Source organism: Homo sapiens, chromosome 5, assembly GCF_000001405.40.
Source record: "Homo sapiens chromosome 5, GRCh38.p14 Primary Assembly".
NCBI lineage: Eukaryota > Metazoa > Chordata > Mammalia > Primates > Hominidae > Homo > Homo sapiens.
Window position 1 is genome coordinate 33832335 of NC_000005.10, and position 20452 is coordinate 33852786.

Genomic DNA, 20452 nt, shown 5'->3' on the forward strand with positions numbered 1-20452 from the left:
CAGGTTCTACCTATTTGCTTTGCAATGAGAACAACCCAATAAATAACTGAACATTTTGTGAGGAAAAAAAAACCCTTTGGATATGGGCACAGTACATCTACTTAAAGTCACTATATGAAAACTGAAAATAATCATTGTAATTGGAATAGTCTCAAGCACAAAATTGAATTCCCTCTTCTTGTACTCAGATTTAAATCGAGTTCCATTCAACAAATGTGCAAGTAAATGTGTTAGACATTAAAGACTCAGCAAAACGTGTACAATTTCTACCATCTGGCAATGCGCATGCTCAGAGAGAGAATTTCCACCAGGCACTAGCGGGGTGGTGGTGTTTTCCCTTGATGCGGCTTGGTTTGGGGACAATAATGCAATGTTGCTTTATTTGAAAGGATGGTTACAAAGAGCTGGATTTCCCCTTCTTTAACTATAACCCATACTTTGCTTCCATTTATATCAGTATAAATATAAGGTCCATTCCCTCGGACTCTCACATATGCACTAAAGACAGCCGTGGGAGGTAGAAACCAGACTGAACAATTGGCCTGAAATCAAATGGCCTGAAATCAAAAAGTGAAGGGGAAAAAAGCCACTTGCTTATTCCTCTATCTTTAACTTTTTAAATTCAGTCAATATCATCTCTCTTGTTCACATAGATTCCAGGGAAGCTTTTGTTTCTCTCTAGTCATTGATCTTCCAGAAGTACAATAGCTATAAATAAGTCACCATGAAATAAAAGCAAAACTTGTGAGTCACTGCTGCCATTTTTTCCTAAGAACACATGGGAATTAGTGTGAGATGATGATCATGAATAACTATGGTGATGATGTGAAGGCAGAGGGAAGAAATAAAATTTCTGTTCAAAGAAACCATGTTCCAGTAAGTTCCAAGTACACCTCCAACTGCATAACAGTATTTGCTTTTTTAGTTTGTATGTACCCATTGGCCTCATTGGACTTAAGCTCAAGGGACCAAGCTCTGACAAGCATTTCTGTATCTGTGACTGGGAAGCCACACAGCAAGGAAACACGAGGTCATAATCATTGCAACATGAATTCTCACAGCTGCCTCTTCAGGGGAGCTCAGGGACTTTGTCATTTATATCAGCTCTCTTTTCTTTTCAGAGACAAAGAGTGGTTCACTTTCACCTTTCAAGGACCAGTCCTAAGTCTTTACATCTCTTCAAAAACCTCCCTAGAACAAGTTAGCTAAAATATCTCAAACTGTATAATTCACACATAAAAGGTACATTTGACTGTATCTGTTAGAAATTAAGTACCTTACAATGGAGAGTAGATTCAACCAAGGAAGAAAAAAAGTTTTCTCTACAATGCTCTACACCTGCAAACTCTCTCTCAAAAACCGTCCAAGCTTTTGTGAATGGTTAAACTGATGATGGCACAGCCATTCAATGAAATCTTCTGTAGCTAGAAAAATTAATTCACAAAAAAATTCATGACTCGGGAAATGATTACAATAAAATATTAAATAAAAAACAGGATTCAAAGCTAAATACATAAAATGATGTAAATTATTAACTACATGCATAGGAAAAAATGGGGCTACATTAGTTTGCTAGCACTGTCATAGGAAGGTACCACAGAGTGGCTTAATCAACAAAAATTTATTTTCTCACAGTTTTGGAGGCTGGAAATCCAAGATCAAAGTGTAGGCAAGGTTAGTTCCTTTGGAGGGCTTCTGAGGAAGAATCTGTTCCAGCCCTGCTTGGTGGCTTTAGATGGCTGTCTTGTCCCTCTGTCTCAAATCATAATCCCTCTGTATGTTTCTATGTCCAAATTTTCTCTTGTTATAAGGACAGCAGTCATATTGGATTAAGGTCTGATTTTAAGTTAGTTACCCCTTTAAAGACCCTATCTTCATATATGGTTCTATTCTGAGGTACTGGAGGTTAGGACTTCAACATGAATTTTTGGGGGAATCACAATACAGTCCATAACAGGGGCCCAATATACAAGAGTGTTTTAGTGGTGGGATGTGGGGCAATTTTCATTTTCCTCTTTGGTAGTTTCATGAGTGTTTCAAATATTCTACAATAAGATGTATTATTTTCATATATAGAGAAAACAATGAAATTTATCTTTGAAACACGTTTTTAGCATTCTTGAGGGTTTCCATCAGAGCCACATTCTTAGCAATGAGTTAACTGCCAGGCATGTGTTAGGGAAAAACCCACTCCTCACTCAGGAACCCATGACCCTCTATGAACTCTTAGCTTGCATTCCGAAAGGCCAGGAGCCCTGCCCTTCTCTATGAATCCCCACTGGAGGAGTCAGAAGGACAAAGCCATCCTCCAAAGTCAGGTCAATCCCTCTTAACCACCATCCCATACACATACCTTTCACCCAAGTTCCCTGGGCAGGTATGAATTTAGGACAGATGTCCCTAGTTTCCTGGAGGATTAGGACACTGTGTTCTATGTCTACACACATGCTGCTGTTGGCCAAAAATTATTCTTTCAAATGCCTGCTTAAAATACATATTTAGGTCACAAGTAAAAGGTCTGAGGCCTTGCTGATAGTGCTTTTTGGACTGATTTTGATCCACCTAATATCCTTGAGAATGGTGGAGTCCCAATGGCCCTTGCAGGGAGAGGGAGCAGGAAAGAAGCAGGAAACTCACTTGACCGTGTGGCAACACCTGCCAAGTATTATCAATAGAATATAAACAATAGTACTTTCCATAACCCAGGAATGCGGCTAACCATTTTTCAAATACTATCTCTTTAAACTTCAGGACAACCCATGAAATTGAATCTGTTTTTAGAAATGAGGAAACAGAGAAGTTACTTGTCCAAGATGCACAGCTAATAAGTGGTCCAGCCAGGATTGGTACCCAGAGCCCCAGTTCATAACCTCCCAGGACCGTAAGACCAAAAGGCAGGGGGGCCATGTCTGTTTTACTGTATCCCCAGTGAGGTCCATACTAAGTATTTGTTGAGTAATGAAAGAACAAGACCAAATTAGCTTTTTACTGAGAGTCCATAGCACCAGGTAAAGACTTGTTAAGCATTATCCCTAATCTTTGCACTAACTTTGTAAAATTAATAGTATTGTCTTACTCCATCCAGGCTGCTATAGGAAAATGCTATCAACTTGGTAGCTTATAAATAACAGAAATTTATTTCTCACAGTTCTGGAGGCTGGCAAGTCCAAGATCAAAGTGCCTATAGATTCAGTATCTGGCGAGGGCCTGTCTCCTAGTTCATAGGTGGTACATTCTTGCTGTGTCCTCACATGATGGAAGAACTAACTAGCTCGCTGCGGCCTCTTTTATAAAGGCACTAATCCCATTCAGGAGAGTTCCCCTTCATGACCTAATCACCTCCCAATGGCCCTACCCCTAATACCATTACCTTGGGGGTAAGGATTTTAACATATCAATTTTGGAGAGACACAAACATACAGACCGTAGCAATTATTGTCCCCATTTTAGAGTTGAGATAACTGAGGTTTAAAGAAATGAAATATATGCAAGGTTCTCAGGACTGGAAAATACAGAGCAGTATAAGATTTTCTGCCCTCACAGAATTCATGATCAAACTGAGGATAATATCCATCTCTCTCTCTCTCTCTCTCTCTCTCTCTCTCTCTCTCTCTCTCTCTGTGTGTGTGTGTGTGTCCATCTGGGCAGTTTATGCTAAGACCCAAATAAGGGAAATAGGCAACATATGCTCCAGAAGCTCAGCAAATGTATGGATGTTACTGGGTTTGTTTTTGTTTTCATGAAGCCCACATCCTCAGCAGGTTAAGTTATCACAAAGCATTCCCTCAAGTGAAAAAGCCCAATGCGTGTGAGCACAGAATCTGAAAATCACACGGCCATGCCCACTGTGGTTGGCTGGGTGGAGGGAGAAGCAGGGATGCAGGATGTTCACCAGCCACAAAAGACTTCCTCAGCCTGAAGGAGGGGGCCGGGCCAATTTGGAATGACTTGAAAGGTCCCAGGCAGCCCCGGACCTGAAGGCTCATCAGGCTGGACGAGCCTTCTCCAAACACCCTCCTCTGACATGCAAATGCCAGCTAGACAGGGGTGGCACATTACATTTCTGGGAGAGGGTAAAGATCAGCTGCAAAACCTGGAAGGCTGGCTGGGAATGAATTCATTCAACAAATGTTTATTTATTTAACTAAATATTAAGGACATAACAGAAGAACAAGGGTGGACAGGACAAGAACTCTGCTCTGGGGGCACTTCCATTACAGCAGGGGAGGCAGACAACGGGACCAAGGCAACAAAAAAGCACAAAGTCCATTCTGTAGAAGTGCTGGGTGGGAAGGAAATAGTAAAAAGCCAAGAAAAAGAAAGTAAGGCAGAGACTGACCCAGAGAACCCAGCAGCTCTCGGAGGAGGTGGCAGGGAAGCTGAGAACTGAGGGAGAAGAACCTGGGTGGAGGTAACAAATGTCCGCGCCACAGACAGCAGCAGGTACACAGACCAGGGCTGGGAAAGAGCACGGAGCATCTAGGCCAAGGTGGCCAGAGCCTAGAGGGCTGGTGGTAGAATGGGAAGGTCAGAGGCTGCAGAGAGAGGTCATCTGGCCTCCGGGAGAGTCTGGCTTTAAAATTTTTTTTTTTTCTTTACAGGCAGGGTCTCACTATGTTGCCCAGGCTGGTCCTGAACTCCTAGGCCCAAGCAATCTTCCTGCCTGGGCCTTCCAGATTGCTGGGATTACAGGCTTGGACCACCATGCCCAGCCCTGGCTTTTAACCAGAGAACAATGGGAAAACCCTGGGGGACTTAGCACACCAGACAAGCCCCACTGTGTGCTTTAAAAAAGTCCCTCTGGCTGTCCTGTGTAGACAAACTCTTAGGGAGGAATGAGACCAGGTCAGAGATCGGGGCTGGGCCCGAGTAGGGGAGTGGACAGACAGGACTTGAAATGTATTATTTTTGTCATTACTTTTAATGGCAAAAACTGAAATTACTTATGCACCAACATAATACTTTGGAGACAGAATCGACCAGGCAATGGAAGGACTGAGTGGCAATGGTGGAAAGTGGAGATGGGTCGGTTACTAGGCCAGCCTCAGTTGAGTTGCTGCTTTTAATTACCTCTTCCAAAGATGTACTGGAGAAAGTCCTCATAAGCACTTTGCTTGCCACACCCACAGAAATAAACAAATTCCTTTGACAATCTACCACTTGGTTCCACCAAGAAATTCTTGAAAATCCTTCATTTCTTGCAGGAATCTGACCCCACAGGGCAGGGCATGTCTTTGTTTCCAGCCGAATGGGATTTCTGGGTTTAAGAGCACTTCCCACTCCCTTCCTAGCATCTGCATGGTTCTTTTGGTTGGTCCTTCTTGAAGTGCATGATGATTTTGTAAAAGAAAGCTTAAGACGATATGTGGAATATGACAGTAACAAAACCAAGGAGACGGGTCCATGACAGTGACTACCTGGATCCAATCACTGAGTTACTTAGTAAACACTTCTTACACCAGAACACTGGGGATAATTAGTTTTTAAAGAAGCCACATTTGTAACTTTTAACCAGAAAACAGATTTTCTGTTGAGCAAGCCTGCCTTTCTGAAAACGTACTGTCAAAAAATTAGAAGTAGACAACAGAGGGTACAATATTGAAACTATAATTTACTAAGCCCAGTAAAACATCACAATTAAATCTGTATTTGTGGTTCCGCTTAACAGCTCTCATATTTTTTTTTAGTGAGAACTGTCATGAAGAATAGCACTGTGTTTTAATTACTCCCCACAACATCCCCACAGAAAGGATTATAGAGAAGCTCCCCTGTGCCTCATGTGGACTCACACAGGTGTGGTGTATAGCTTCCAGGTTGAGCAATGACTATGCACATTTAAAGACTATGAAGCAATGGTTAACACTTAAGAGCTGAAAGGACTAAAGACATTCAATAACAAGAACCACATCAGTTATATAGTTTGTTAGATTTCTAATGGCAGATTCAATGGTGTCAAAGGATTAAAAAAGGAAAATTAAAACATTGGAAATGATAGTGTTAGAAAAAGAGGAATAAATGCAGACAAAAAGAATCGTAGGCCACAAAGGTATTCAAGAAGCAGAACTAGGCCAGGCACGGTGGCTCACACCTGTAATCCCAGCACTTTGGGAAGCCGAAGAAGGCAGATCACTTGAGGTCAGGAGTTCAAGACCAGCCTGGCCAACATAGTGTAACCCCATCTCTACTAAAAATACAAAAATTAGCCGGGTGTGATGGTGCATGCCTGTAGTCCCAGCTATGTGGAGGCTGAGGTAGGAGAATTGCTTGAACCTGAAAGGCAGAAGTTGCAGTGAGCCGCGATCGTGCCACTGCGCTCCAGCCTGGGTGACAAAGCGAGACTCTGTCACAGACGAAAAAAAGAAAGAAGCAGAAGTAACAGGGAAGTGGAGAGAGGGAGAAGAAAGGAAAAGAGGAAAGATGGAGCAGAGAAGAGGACCTGGGGAGGGATGGTGAAGGGACTGAAGTGAGTAGGAAGAAAAAAGGGAAGAGGAAGAGCTTACCACAGAATAAGGAAGGTCATTTCCAAAGAGAAAGTGTACCTGTAGGGCAGATAATGGACTAAAACTCTTAGAAACAATAACATGGTTTTATAGTCACTGCCCCTTCTGCTGGATAAAAAACGACTGGATTCAAACTCCCAATTCTGGCATTAACCTGAGTTGCTATGTCAACTGTGTGTCCAACTTCCTTTGATCGCAGTTCCCTCCTCTAAAACGTGAAGATCCTAAAACAGGTCTTTTCAAACTTGATCTTTCTGTGATTTAAAAAAGAGGCAGAAGAGCGTTGAGATCAAGATCACAGGAGCTGAGGGTAGGCTCCTTTAATCTTCTCTCCATATGTGACTTTTAGAAAGGCACTTAACATGTTTGTGCCTCAGTGTCATTGTCTACAAATAGGAGATGATAAGAATATCTATGTTATAAGATTCTAGTAAGCTTTGGCAATATAAGCTGTGTGTGCTATTATTAGCAGAAATCTTTTATCCCACATTTCAAGTGTCTTTTATAGGCTAATCAATATGAGGGACTGTAGGTTTAACCGTATTTTAGACCTGAATTTTGGTGTATGCTGTTGTCAGTCATTTTATTGTCACGCTAATTGGTGTGTGTCCTTTCCACATCTGTGCATTACTAAGTCACACTGAGGCACATGCTTTTCCTTCTTTACAGGATCCCAGGTCAATTTTCTTTCCTAGTTGAACATATGGTGGCTCCAACTCTGGAAGGGAACCAGAGAATGAGGTCTGCGCTCCATGCTGAGGGGAGCCGACTGAAGACAGAGGGTCCTTTCTTGGTTTCCACCAACATCAAGCTTCTTGCCTCCTAGGTTTGACTGTCCACTTTAAAACTCCTCCCACAACACAGTGTTCTCCACCCTTATCCCCACCACCGTGCCCTGCCCACTCAAAAAGGTTGTATCGCGTTCTTCACTGAAACGCAAGCAATACAAACATTAGCCCTGCTTCTCCGCATTTGTCCGTGCTATCATTTTTGTTCACTATAAACAAATACAGTAGTTTGCTTGGTAACTTCATGAAACGGGAAGAAGACAGTTCTTCTGTGTTTTACTAGGGCTGAATCAAGTGACTAGCTAGGAAGAAAAAGACACTACAAAAAGAAGACGGTTTGGGCATTAAATAATTCAAATTTATTCCTCTAAATGTATTTTGATGAAAAGATAAATCTTTCTAAGCAAACTCACTAATTCCCCATTCACTGACTTTCCTTGACAAAGCCTAAGGATCTCCACTTGCAGAAAGACACCAAATCTCCATGAAGGAAGAAGTGCCCCAGAGGCAAGTTTACTTACACCCATTTTCTCCAAAGCTTTACAAAAGCAGGGTGATCTCTGGCCAGGATGTGAAATATCAGCATAGCCTACTTTATTCTTTTACATCTTCATCTTCCTCTTTGTAAGATCTCAGGTAAAGATATACAATGCTTGAGCTCTAGGGTCTCACTGTATGTATTCAAATTCTTTTCTCCTTACTACTTCTGTTTAGGAAGGGTTTCCTAACACTATCTCCTTGCTTCAGTTTCTCCATCTCACCCTTTAATTAACCATGGCATGTTGGTGAAGACCTCAGGATGAAGAACCTGGCAGCCTGGGTTAACTCACAGCTTGGCCACAGATGTGCCACCCTGAGCAACTCACCTAAGTTCCCTGTGGCCTGTTTCCTCTTCTCAACTGTGGAGATGATAATGGTACCACCTCATAGATTAGTTGTGAAGGTTATGTGAAATAAAGAAGTAAGCACCTCTGACAGTGCCTGGCACACAGTCAGGTGTTGAAACTGGTTGTAGCCATGGGAAGCTGTACTAACAGTATTCAGCTCTATGCCCAAGGCCCCAGGAATGCAGCAGCCTTACTTACTGCAGCCCTTCTGGCATATGAGACCCTGGATCCCCAGGGCCACCCTGCAGGGATAGGAGGAATCCTCGGCCTGCAGGTGCAGCCCTTGTTTGGTCACTGATCAGCCTCTGACACCTTTGGTTTAGTGCAGTGCTAATCCAAAGGCAGCCTCAGATGCAGTACTAAGCCAAATCAGCCTCAGTTTAGTGCAGTGCTAAACCAAATCAAACTCAGATGCTTTAGGTTTAGTGCAGTGCTCAAATCAACTGAAGCTAAGCATTCCAGTCCTGCTGAACTGAGCTGCTCCCACCCTTAGCTCTGCCATGTCCCTCCAGTCTGTGTGGCACATATGGCCAATTGAGCTGCTCCCACCCTTAGCTCTGTCTTGTCCCCCCAGTCTGTGTGGCACACATGACCACACAGTCTCCTGGCTGGATTCTCTCCCTGAACCCCAGACTGTTCAATCAGGCTTCAATAGCCACAGCCCTTACCAGTACTGCTAGGGTTTGGTGACTCCAGGCCCTGCTGCAGCTCCCTCCACCTCCTGCCCCACAACCTCACAGTTGTCTGCAGCTACTCCCTCCTTCCTTTTCATCCTTTTTGTAGCATAAAGGGCCTGTACTTCCATCTAAGGCAAAGTCTTCTCACTGTGCTGTCAGCTTTGGACCTCTTACTTCCTCTGCCACTTCATTTCACCAACCATCCTGTCTCTGGTTAACCTCTGGTTCTCCTGTGGCTTTGCTCATTTCTCTTTCAACTTCCAAAAGAAAAACTCAAACTCACACTTTTTGTTCTCCTCATGCTCTGACCTGTATTTTTCTTTCTTTCAAATAGGGTGGCCTACATTTGGAGCATAACCCATTTTTGCCTAGTGTTCCATTATTGGAATGCTAAGCTTGTAGGAGTTATTTTTATCCTACTGCTCAAGGTCGTCGCCAAGGTCTGATTTTTCACACACAAAAACTTGCAACCTCTGGCATAAATGGGTTAATTTCCTACTATTCAGTCTTGCATGTAAGTGCATTATGGTTTCTGCTCTCTCCCCATCAATGGGACTGCTATGCTAGGGTTCCTGACAACGCAATGCAAGAAGGAGCATTTGTGCTGAGTCCTAGATGCTACCAAGCAGTCCAGAGTAGGGTAGGGTATTCTGGGAGAGAAGTAATTTTTTATGCAGACTCATGCTTCTCTCCTCATCAAAATCTTTCAGCCAGGGCCACATGGGTCAATAGGTTCTACCTCTCATTCTTACACAACCATGAAATTCCACACCCTGACACATCTTCATTTTCCTCTTACACCATCCCCTTTTTGACTTCATGATCTCCCTGAACACCTGGACACCCGGGTAAATGCCATTAGCACCACTCATGCAATCGGGTGAAGCCTCAGTTTTGTCTCCTTAACCATCTCTCAGCAATGCCTTCTCAATCTCCAGAACAAAAGGATTATGACTTTACTTTGTTAAGACATCTAAGTAGACAGGCCCAGCGAGTCATTGGAAACGTTCATCTGTAACTCATAAGAGAAGCAAAATAATTGGTAATCCTATGCAAAAAAGCGAAATGTGCTTTCTTCATGCCTTTTCTCCCCTGACTCTTTCATCTTTGTTGTGGTCCTCATTCTTCCTTTCTAATTTTTACATAAATTTAAAAGGTGCTTTACTTAGGGAACTATTACAAATTATTCTGCTGAATCATGGTAAAATAGAATTTGCTTTGGGGATGGCTCCAGTATAAGAAAATCCTCAAGGTTGCAGCTTTCCACAAAGGGAGGGTTCACAAAAGTCTAAGTCCTCATAGCATAAAAGCTTTTAGAGCAAAAATAATTTAAAACAGGAGTTGTCTACACTGCAACTTTTAAACAGAGCTTTTCATGCTGAAATTAGCACAAAGCTTACTTAATATCCAGAGTGCTGCATAAGGAACTATTGAGGAAACGCAAGGGGCAGCTGGAAAAACAGAGGAAAGTGGGAGGCAGGCATGGTGCCAGGCACTGGGACAGTCTCTCCATCTAAGCCCTCTAACAGTGCAGAGACCCTGTAGGTGACCCATAAAAGGACAGAAGACCCCTGGACACCAGGACAGTAGGCATCATACCAAGAGCCAGGATAACAGTGGGGTGCGAACACACATTCAGAAAGCTAAGGCTAGAAAAACTACAAAAGACAGAGCCAGACTTGGTGAGCTCCAAGAAACACTAAGGTAGAGCTGGGAATCTGTAGCTAAGCCAGCATAGGGTCAACTTCATAGATTTGTTATGAAGGTTACAGGAAATGAAAAAGTAAGCAATGCTGAGTGGCTGGCACTCACAGTCTAAATCCCCATAGCATGAATTGGAAGGGCCCTTGGTGATCACCCAGACAAACATGGTGCCCTTCTCTCCCTACCTTTCCCTTCCTGAACAGTTCAGTTCTAAAGCCCTTAAGTAGGACAGATAAAAGTATGCATCTGTGTAGGGTTGGAACGAGAGGAGAGCTGAGGTGGACTAGCAGAAGGCCATAGCCTGAGCAGAGTGAAGACATCTGCATAGGCATGATACATGGTGCAGGGTAACAGAGCCCAGGACTGAGCAAGATGAGAAAAATGTCCGTGTTAATGAGAAAGAGGCACAGTGCTAGGTTCCTGAGCCTGAGCAAGCTAAGGTGGACAGCCCCAGAGGGAGCAGTCTGGAGAATCAATGCCCCGTGGCTTGACATGGAGGTCAGAGCCCAAGCAGGGTGAGGAGGGCATCCATATCAGGCAAGGGGGTAGTGAGTAGCCAGCACAGAATGTGGGAGCTGAATTTTGGTGAGAAGAGAGCAGGGAATGGTAGCAATAATGGAGATGGGATATTAATCAAAAACAGGGAGACTGATCAAATACTAAGGAGAATGAAAGCCAGTTACATCATTGTCAGAGAAGATATTTTCATAAATATAAAAGGGAGAAAACCAGAATGAATACTATGATGTTGGCCTGGAAGCGAAGGTACGGTAGTCACCTCTTATCCACAGAGGATATGTTCCAAGACCTCCACTGGATGCCTGAGACCATGAATAATAACAAATCCTATATGTGCTATGGTTTTGGATCTGATAAGCAGGAAGTGACTAACAGGCAAATGGCCTAGGCAGTGTGGATACTGGACAAAGGTATGAGCAGGATGGTGCAAGATCTCCTACTACACAGAATGGCACACAATTTAAAACTTATGAATTATGTATTTCTTGTTGCAGGAAGTCAGGGACCCCAAACGGAGGGACTGGCTGAAGCCATGGCAGAAGAATGTGGATTTCATGGGCATTTATTAGTTCCCCAAATTAATACTTTCATAATTTATTATGCCTGTCTTTACTGCAATCTCTGAACATAAATTGTGAAGATTTCATGGACACTTATCACTTCCCCAATCAATACCCTTGTGATTTCCTATGCCTGTCTTTAATCTCTTAATCCTGTCATCTCGTAAGCTGAGGAGGATGTATGTTGCCTCAGGACCCTGTGATGATTGCATTAACTGCACAAATTGCAGAGCATGTGTGTTTGAACAATATGAAATCTGGGCACCTTGAAAAAAGAACAGGATAACAGCAGTGTTCAGGGAACAAGAGAGATAACTTTAAACTCTGACTGCCGGTGAGCCAGGCGGAACAGAGCCATATTTCTCTTCTTTCAAAAGCAAACAGGAGAAATATTGCTAAATTCTTTTTCTCAGCAAGGAACATCCCTGAGAAAGAGAATGCGCCCCTGAGGGTAGGCCTCTAAAATGGCCCCTTTGGGTATGGCCATCTTCTATGGTGGAAACTGTAGGGATGAAATAAGTCCCAGTCTCCCATAGTGCTCCCAGGCTTATTAGGATGAGGAAATTCCCACCTAATAAATTTTGGTCAGACCGGTTGCTCTCAAACCCTGTCTCCTGATAAGATGTTATCAATGACAATGGTGCCCGAAACTTCATTAGCAATTTTAATTTTGCCCCGGTCCTGTGGTCCCATGATCTCGCCCTGCCTCCATTTGCCTTGTGATATTCTATTACCTTGTGAAGCACGTGATCTCTGTGACCCACACCCTATTTGTAGACTCCCTTCCCTTTGAAAATCACTAATAAAAACTTGCTGGTTTTGCGGCTTGTGGGGCATCACGGAACCTACCGAAATGTGATGCCTCCCCCGGACGCCCAGCTTTAAAATCTCTCTTTTGTACTCTGTCCCTTTATTTCTCAACCCGGCCGATGCTTATGGAAAATAGAAAAGAACCTACATGACTACTGGGGGCAGGTTCCCCGATAATTTCTGAAATTTTTTATTTAAAATTTTCAGACCACAGTCGGCCACAGGTAAACTGAAAACAGAAAGTGAAACCATAGATAAGGGAGGACTACAACATTAGTGTAAACCCATAATTTTCCATACATGTATATTAGTATATAGATACACTAATAACTAGAGCTGCAAGCAGGTATTGTGGCTTACATGCACATATGCCCATATACACACATATTCTCTACCTCTGTCCATTGAGAGGGTCTGGAACAGCAGCACCTGATAGCAATGAGCACATTTTGTGCCCAGATCTTTGCTTCAAAATATCACTCTTCAGAGGAGGGAGAAAAAGGTTCCCTGAAGAAATAACTATAGGGCTGGGAAAGTACAAAATGACCCTAGAACATCTTATTGTCCCAGAAAGCAAGAGCATACTCAAAGAATGATGGGATGAGGCAAAAGACACAGAAGCCAGATTGAAGGGGCTCCCACTGACCAAACTGAGATAATTGAATATCATCATAAATACTGCCGTTATGTATTAATAATAACAGATATAATAGTAATAACATATTAAATAATGATGTTACATTAGTACAGACATAAGCATAAGACCATACCAATATAAATACATGAATAAATAAATTGCATGTCTGATGAGGAACAGAGTGCTCACATAGTTTCAAAGCATTTTCCCTCAAATGTATATTAATTAGAAAGAGAAAAAAGACTAACTTTACAGGAGAGAAGCCTAGTAGACATCATCTTAATCAAGTAATCAAAATGAGTAGCAGAAATGAGACAAATCAGAAGTATGTGACACTTGATAGGATGCAATGAGAAAATACATGGTCACTTCCGGCTATTTCTGCCAAAGATGCCATCTCTCCACTCATGGTGGAAAGCAAAGTGGGGCTGATATCACACAGTGAGAGAGGAAGCAGGAGAGAGAACGAAAGGAAAAGAGGGAGCAGAGGAGGTGCCAGCCTCTTGTCAACAACCAGGTGTTGCAGTGGGAACTCACTCCCACAAAATGGCAGCTCCCCATACATTAAGGATCCACTCCAATGACCCAAATACCTCCCACCAGGGCCCACCTCCAGCACTTGGGATCAAACTTCAGCATGAAATTTTGAGGGGACAAATATCCAAACTGTATCATGTGCACAATCTGAATCAAATCATAAGCCAACGTCAGACAAACCCAAACTGAGGGACATCCTACAAAATAACTGGTCTATAATCTTCGAAAGTGTCAAGGTCATAAGAGCTAAAGAAAGGCAGAGGAATTATTCTAGACTGAAGAAACTGGAGTTATCAGAAAACAGTGTCATGTACTGTTTCCAATACTTACTAGATGTCCCATATGTTTGATTAACTGAATTCTTCTGTCTCTAAAATAAACAGCCACCTAAACATCAGGCTTTCACAGTGATTCACTCCTTCCCTCTGTTCTCTAACCTGAAAATAAAACCAAACACTTGAAATGCTGTAATAGCCCCCAAAGCCAGTAATAGAATTGAGTTTCTAAAGTTCCTTTTTACTCATTTTTCTAGGTCAAGCTCAAATGCTCATCTTCTAGGAAGACGGCCTTGATTGCTGCTCCAGAGCTCATGTTTTCCTCCATCTTCTGAGAAGAGCAATGATAAGCAACACAAGACTCAACAGTTCAGGAGTGTATCATGTGAAGGCTTCAAAGGCAAAGTTAGAGATCTTGATGGGGGTGGGGGTAGCTACATCTTATATTTCTTTGTGTCCTCAATAGTAGTAAACACCTTGCAGAACACACAATGGGTACCTAACGAATACTTGTTAATAAATTCCTGAAACTTTGTTCTGATTAAGGAAATGTTTGTCCCCGGAGGTTTGAAGGCTTTTCAGCACAACTATGAAGCAATGAGTCCTAAAAAGATAAAATAAAATTGCACACCAATTAGCTCATTTGATGATCAAAGACCATATTCTTGGGCTTCCCCAAGATGTAGCAATATTGCTTCTTTCTTCTGATGTACTAGATTAACAACTGGAGCTTCTCTTGCCCACCAATACCTCCTTTCTGTCTTCTCTCCCACTTTGCTACTTATCCAGGCAAGACACCAGCTGCCTCTGATCAAGTTCCAGAAAGGGAAAACAAACAACTTCGTGGGGGTCTGTCCTACAGTAGAACTCCCAAGTTGGCCTGTGAGAAGAACTGAGAGTGAAGCCCTAATCCAGCACAAAGGCCCTGAGAGAAGGAAAATGTTAAAGGTGCTATGTTACAGATGTGTAGATCTATCTCAGAGATATGTGGATCTTCACGTATCCACAAGCATTTCTACCCATGTCCAGACTCAAGGGTAGCACCTTCATGCAAGCCTGGCCAGACCACATGTTCACTGCCCACAGGACACTAATAAAAAACAGGAAGTTTCGGCCAGGCACTGTGGCTCACGCCTGTAATCCCAGCACTTTGGGAGGCCTAGGCTGGTGGATCACCTGAGGTCGGGAGTTGGAGACCAGCCTGACCAACATGGAGAAACCCCGTCTCTACTAAAAACACAAAAATTAGCCGGGCAAGGTGGCACATGCCTATAATCCCAGCTACTCGGGAGGCTGAGGCAGGAGAATCACCTGAACCCGGGAGATGGAGATTGTGGTGAGCCGAGATCGCGCCATTGCACTCCAGCCTGGGCAACAAGAGCAAAACTCCATCTCAAAAAAAAAAAGAAAGAAAGAAAGAAAAGGAAGTTTCAAGGACTGGATCAAACCCAGAATGATTATACCCAAATGATCAAGTATAGGATTACTTAACTGCCAAGGAAGATAAAAGTAGCAGTAAGTTAGGCAAAGAGGGCCTTGGAGAGGCTCAGGTGAAGCTGTTACCAGAAAACAGGCCACCTTTAATGGGTGGGCACAGCACCTGTAAGGTGAATGAGGTAGAAGACTGTATTCACCAAAGATCTGTCACAGGAAGAAATTGTGTTTCCAAGGATATCCTCTCCCTTCCATAAAGAGTGAAACAATGGCCAGGTGCAGTGGCTTACACCTGTAATCCCAGCACTTAGGGAGGCCAAGGTGGTCAGATCACTTGAGGTCAAGAGTTTGAGACCAGCCTGGCCCATATGGTGAAACCCCATCTCTACTAAAAATACAAAAAAAGGAGCAGGGCATTGTGGCAGGTGCCTGTAATCCCAACCACTCAGGAGGCTGAGGCAGGAGAGTCGCTTGAATCCAGGAGGCGGAGGTTGCAATGAGCCAAGATCGCACCACTGCACTCCAGCCTGGGTAACAGAGTAAGACTCTGTTTAAAAAAAAAAAAAAGTGAAGCAAGGAAATGCCTGAGTACCTGGAGTTGCCCAGACCACCACCAGCCACCTTGGAGTGTCTCAGCTCAGCCAGAATCCAGAACCTGAAGTGCCAGTTGTCACCCAACAGGAAGTCAACATGAGGGCAGAGGATAGACAAACAAGCGACATAGTGAGGTGAAAGATGGAGGGATTTCAGAAGCTTCTGTGAATGTGAATGTGAAATGTTGAAGACAAGAACAAGATCTATACAAGATTTTAAGAAAACTGTCTGTAGGATGTTTCCTATGATACACATGTCTACATCATGAGAAATGTTTCTCTCCAATCCTGAGAAGTCAAATTTGTGTTTCCCTCATTGGTATTAGTTGCAAAACTGGACTTCAGAGAGTCCTATCTTTTATACAGGTTACTTGAGGTTGTTGGAATTGTTGAGATGTATTCTGAATCAGTTGCCCCAATGACAACTTGCCTAGGGAAAATGCAAGCAGGCTTCTATTCTTAGCAGAAGTATTTTGAGTGTCTATCACCTAGGGTGATTGCAAGTATTAGCACTGAAAAAGAGAAGTGGGAGGGCAGGCCTTGGAGAAGCAGAAGAGAAAATATGAATCTAGAACGTAGATTATTAGCTTACAAACCTGGCTGCACCAGAATCACCTAAGTAGCTTTAATGTGTATATATTATACACACACATGATATATATATATCGTGGTGTTTTCATCTAAGCTGTTGAGAAGAGACATCTATATATATGTATTGCATAGCAATATATATATATGTATTGCATAGCAATATATATATATGTATTGCATAGCAATATATATATATGTATTGCATAGCAATATATATATATGTATTGCATAGCAATATATATATGTATTGCATAGCAATATATATATGTATTGCATAGCAATATATATATATGTATTGCATAGCAATATATATATGTATTGCATAGCAATATATATATGTATTGCATAGCAATATATATATATGTATTGCATAGCAATATATATATATGTATTGCATAGCAATATATATATATGTATTGCATAGCAATATATATATGTATTGCATAGCAATATATATATATGTATTGCATAGCTATATATATATGTATTGAATAGCAATATATATATGTATTGAATAGCAATATATATATGTATTGCACAGCAATATATATATATGTATTGCACAGCAATATATATATGTATTGAATAGCAATATATATATGTATTGCACAGCAATATATATATATGTATTGCACAGCAATATATATATATGTATTGCATAGCAATATATATATATGTATTGCATAGCAATATATACATATATGTACTGCATAGCAATACACATGTGTATTGCATAGCAATACACATATGTATTGCATAGCAATATATATGTATTGCATAGCAATATATATGTATTGCATAGCAATATATAGTATCTATATATGTATTGCACAGCAATATATGGTATCTATATATGTATTGCATAGCAATATATAGTATCTATATATGTATTGCATAGCAATATATAGTATCTATATATGTATTGCATAGCAATATATAGTATCTATATATGTATTGCATAGCAATATATACATTGTATCAATATATATGTATTGCATAGCAATATACATTGTATCAATATATATATGTATTGCATAGCATATTATATATGTATTACCTACATATAGATAGCATGTGTATATAATATATACACACACTATACTAGTAGCAGAGGCAGGTGGGAGATGTATTTTATAGTGTAAATCCTTTTTATCTTTTAAGTTTTGTAGCATGTGAACTTATTACCTGCTAAACGTATTATAAAACGAAGGGGGAAAAGCCTAGATTCCTCTCACGGAGATTTTCACTCTCAATAGATGATCTGTTCTTACCATATCGTCTGTACGGAGCAGATCTCACCACCAGACTGTGACCCACCCTTACCACGAGCGTCTAATGGTCCGTCACCTGCACATCGGTTAAGCAGGTGAAAGGGGACTTCCTGACCCAGGATGTGGCATGGTCTCACATGCCTCTGGGTTTCAGACACAATGACTCAGCAGAAAGTTTCACTAAAAGAGAGGATTAATCAGACCTCAGGGGAAGCTGGCCACGGCGACCTCTGGGAGGCCTTCTTGTTCCCTTTCACAAGAGAGTTCTTGGTGTGGCACTATGCTAAGTGCTACACACCCATCCTCCCAACCAAAACAGGTGCTGTCAGCCCCTTTTACAATCTCAGAGCTAACATGCCCAAAGTTACAGAGCTAATGACTGAAATCTGCCTACCTGGAAAGCCCAACAGGCTCTCGACACCATAGGCCTCTCTCATTGCAGCAGCCTTTTCCTCACAGGAACAGTCTGATACCAGCATCATGCTGCCACCATCCATGTCCACAGCACAGAAAATGTTACAGTGTAAATATCTACTCTGGATGACCTGGGCTAGGATATTATTTCTCACCTTCATATTTTTTGACTGTTTAGTTTTTCAGATTCAAAGGTCAAAGAGAGAGTTTTTTCCCATCCTGCTGGTCCCTGGGCTGCAAGGATCCAGTTCACCCAAAGTAATAGATCTAAAGAGGCGAAGTCTTGTCTAAGGTCACCCACCAATAAAACAAACAACTATATACCTAATTTTGCACGTATCACCCCATGAGGTGATATGCTTTGGTCAGAGTTCCTGAGTTCTATAAGATCTTAGGAATTAGCCTTCATTTCCCAGAAAAAGAAGCTGGAATCTTGAGTGTTAAGAAACTTCTCTTAGAGCTTCTGGCTAGATGGGAGCATTCAGGCATAAACTTCAGGTCTCCCAACTCCAAGTCCAGTGCTTGCGCATGACAGAGTACTCTTCTGAAGTCTTAAGCCTAAATCACAGTGGACTAAGCTAGCAATAAAAATAAAAGGAGGCCAGACACAGTGGCTCATGCCTGTAATCCCAGCACTTTGGGAGGCCGAGGCAGGCAGATCACGAGGTCAGGAGATCGAGATCATTCTGGCTAACGTGGTGAAACCCCATCTCTACTAAAAATACAAAAAATTAACCAGGCATGGTGGTGGGCACCTGTAGTCCCAGCTACTCGGGAGGCTGAGGCAGGAGAATGGCATGGACCCAGGATGCAGAGCTTGCAGTGAGCCGAGATCACGCCACTGCACTCCAGCCTGGGTGACACAGCGAGACTCCATCTCAAAAAAATAAAATAAAATAAAAGGAAAGAGGAGTCTATTTGTCAAATTTGAATCTCTTTATTGAAACAGTTGAATTAACTAATTGAATTAAAAGGATTTACTAGTAAAAGAGAGAATCCTTTCCAGAGGAGGGATGTAAAGCACTCACCGATACATCTCAAATCCTCCTCTGGTCATTGCCAAAGCAACTGTTATCACAACCTTCCAGATAGAAAAGAGTATCTGCTCAGAAGGGATACTGGATTGCTGCCCAGTCCCCCACAATATCCAACCTCCAAGATCAGATGTGCCCTCTGCTGCAATGCAATTTCAAATAAATGAAGAAAAAAGATGCAGAGATGCTTTTATGTCTTTTTCAGTAAGCCTAGCTGATTTCATTCATTTATTCTGCACCATACGTTCAGGTAAAACCCCTTTCTGCAGACTTATTCTGCATTAGCTACTCCCAGTATGGGCATACACATGCTCATGTGCACACACGCATGTGCAAGCACACACACACACACCATAGCCTGCTTATCAATCAACTCTAATTTGTCCGGAAGCTCTGCCATGAGTGGCACATTCCCCATATTCTTTCCTTATCAAGCTCTGTAGAGGTTGGAAAAGATAAGAGACCACTGACTATTCCTAAGCCTTATATTATCTAACAGTTTAACCTCCTGTGTTTCTTCTGCAAATGTGCTAACAACAACAACAACAACAAAACCAAATTGTAAAAACAACTAAAACAAAGACCAAGGAAGAGAAAGAAAAGCCAAAGAAAATTCCCAGAAAGCTCAGTTTGGTAAACAGAAAAAAAAAGTCCTTAGAGATCGGCTGAGAATACTGAAGGACCAGAAAGAGAAAGAATCAGTGGTAAACTTTTAAAAAGTTTTTAAAAAGGTTTTCTAGAAGAAAGAAAGGCTGCTTGGAAGAAAGATAGTAGTATCTGATGACCCACTAAGAGACTGAAAGTTGTGCATTTTAAAATTAAGTGACTCATTTCTTACGGCCAAAGCAGAAATCAAACGGGAAAAAACAGTCTAGAGAAAAATCTGCCATAAACAGGGTACAGAGGGTGAGTGGATGGAGAATGGGTAAAGGGAGGAATCAGTGACACCAAATGCGGCCGTTTAGTATGAAATTTCATAATCTGATAAATCTGTTTCTGAAAATAGTTTATTGTCCTCCCAGCCAATTTAATTGCAGAACTATGAAGGAATGTCTACATGGAAATGTGCAGTCTGCAAGTTAGAGAAACGGTCTGGTAGGAAGCACTAGTGTATGAAATTCACTCTATTAAAGTAAATGTCTGAAATCTCTCAAGGAGGGAAATAAGCAAATCCAGCAACATACACCATTGGGAAAAAAGCTAAGAAGGTCATTTGTATGT

At 41.9% G+C, this 20452-nt stretch overlaps 1 protein-coding gene across 4 annotated transcripts in view, besides 1 other annotated feature; it reads right to left on the bottom strand.

The window, feature by feature from the left end:
- ADAMTS12 (ADAM metallopeptidase with thrombospondin type 1 motif 12) overlaps positions 1-20452 on the bottom strand; it is a 368456-nt gene that overhangs the window by 308800 nt on the left and 39204 nt on the right. The window lies entirely within an intron of this gene.
- Positions 17568-18069: an enhancer, noted in NCBI's record as "H3K27ac hESC enhancer chr5:33850007-33850508 (GRCh37/hg19 assembly coordinates)". NCBI's record gives its function as "activates a minimal SCP1, AML or CMV promoter by ChIP-STARR-seq in primed H9 embryonic stem cells {active_cell/tissue: H9 hESC(primed)}" and the evidence as "EXISTENCE:reporter gene assay evidence [ECO:0000049][PMID:30033119]".